Raw genomic sequence first — 1,634 nt, 5'->3', positions numbered from 1 at the left:
GTTTAACAACTTTTCACAAGCCAACCCTAACTTTCAGGAAGTGAAATGACAATGGCAGAATTTTTCTGAAGACCCACAGTCTAGAAATGGAACCACTGCTCTTTTGACAGGTGCCACCTCAGTGGCATCACTGGAAAGTCCAGGTTGCCTGACACACTGGTAACCAATGACTGGGGGTAGGTCCTAACAGATGTCTGGGCTTAAGGGAGTTAAGTGTATGCTGAAAGATGGAAAGGGAGAAGAGGACATAAGGACGTATTTGTTTTTCCATACCACAAGGCTTTTGTGCCAAGGTGGCCATGTGTGTCAAAGTCCAGGAATCCCTCCTCCTGGGAGCCAAGAGGAAGTCTCTCAAAACTAGAAGGGAGAGGTGTTTTCCCCACATCAATCCAGCTTCGGAGACATTCTATTAGTGACATATGCCCCTCCCCAACAAAACAACAATGAAGTGTTCTGTGTGCTAACAACATAGCTTAAAAAATAATAAGAAGAAATTAACACAAAATTCTGCATTTTTATAAAACTTGATAGAAATAGTATTTCAAACTGTACAGTCACCAGAAGTACACGGTTATCAAAAATGCACACACTTTACTTGGCATCTCCAGCACCTTCAGCTTTCTGTGCCTGGTCTGTTTTGGCATCTCCATTTTCTGCAGGGTTATTCCCCTCCTTGCCAGCAACAGCTTTTCCCTTTTTCCCTTTGGGTACTGTCTCTCTATTCTACGCAGGGGCCTTTTTAGGCTTGGGCTCTGGTTTTGGAGGAGCAGGTTTAGCAGACAACCTCGCGGATCTATTCTGTGGTTCGTCCTTCACCTGGGCTTTATCTCCTCCTTTAGTATCCCCTTCAGCCTTTCTCTTGGAAATGATCTCGGCGGCGGTGGCGACGGCAGTGGGACGTGGGCGTGGGCGCCGGATGCAGCGGCGCGCGGGCTTTGGTTGGTTCGGGGGTCGTTCTCGCCTCTTTTTCTTCACATTGTGCTTTCTTTTGATTTACTTTTTGGTTATTTTTCTAGCTATTTGTGTTGAGAATACAATTCATTAATTTTTATTGTTTTCTTTTTAAAAATTGTTATATGTTTTTTTAATTTAAAATTTAAAAAAAGACGGCTGGGTGCGGTGGTTTACGCCTGTAATAGCAACACTTTGGGAGACTGACGCCGGTGGATCACCTGAGGTAAGGAGTTCGAGACCAGCCTGGCCAATATGGTGAACCCTCATCTCTACTAAAAATACAAAAATTAGCCGGGCGTGGTAGCATGCCCCTGTAACCCCGTGGTGGCATGCCCCTGTAATCCCAGCTAGTCGGGAGGCTGAGGTGGGAGAATTGCTTGAACCTGGGAGGCGGAGGCTGCAGTGAGCCGAGATCGTGCCACTGCACTCCAGCCTGGGTGATAGAGACCCCTCTCGAGGCCAAGGCGGGTGGATCACGAGATCAGGAGATCGAGACCATCCTGGCTAACACGGTGAAACCCCGTCTCTACTAAAAATACAAAAAATTAGCCGGGCGTGGTGGCGGGCGCCTGTAGTCTCAGCTACTGGGGAGGCTGAGGCAGGAGAATGGCGTGAACCCGGGAGGCGGAGCTTGCAGTGAGCCGAGATCGCGCCACTGCACTCCAGCCTGGGCGGCAGAG

The 1,634-nt window shown here is 48.5% G+C and overlaps 1 pseudogene; it reads right to left on the bottom strand.

The window, feature by feature from the left end:
- Positions 1–399: 399 nt before the first annotated feature.
- Positions 400–979, bottom strand: HMGN2P19 (high mobility group nucleosomal binding domain 2 pseudogene 19; annotated as a pseudogene).

This window comes from Homo sapiens, chromosome 1, assembly GCF_000001405.40.
Source record: "Homo sapiens chromosome 1, GRCh38.p14 Primary Assembly".
Taxonomy (NCBI): domain Eukaryota; kingdom Metazoa; phylum Chordata; class Mammalia; order Primates; family Hominidae; genus Homo; species Homo sapiens.
Note: the sequence above shows the minus strand (reverse complement) of the source record. Positions and strands in the feature narration are given on the sequence as shown.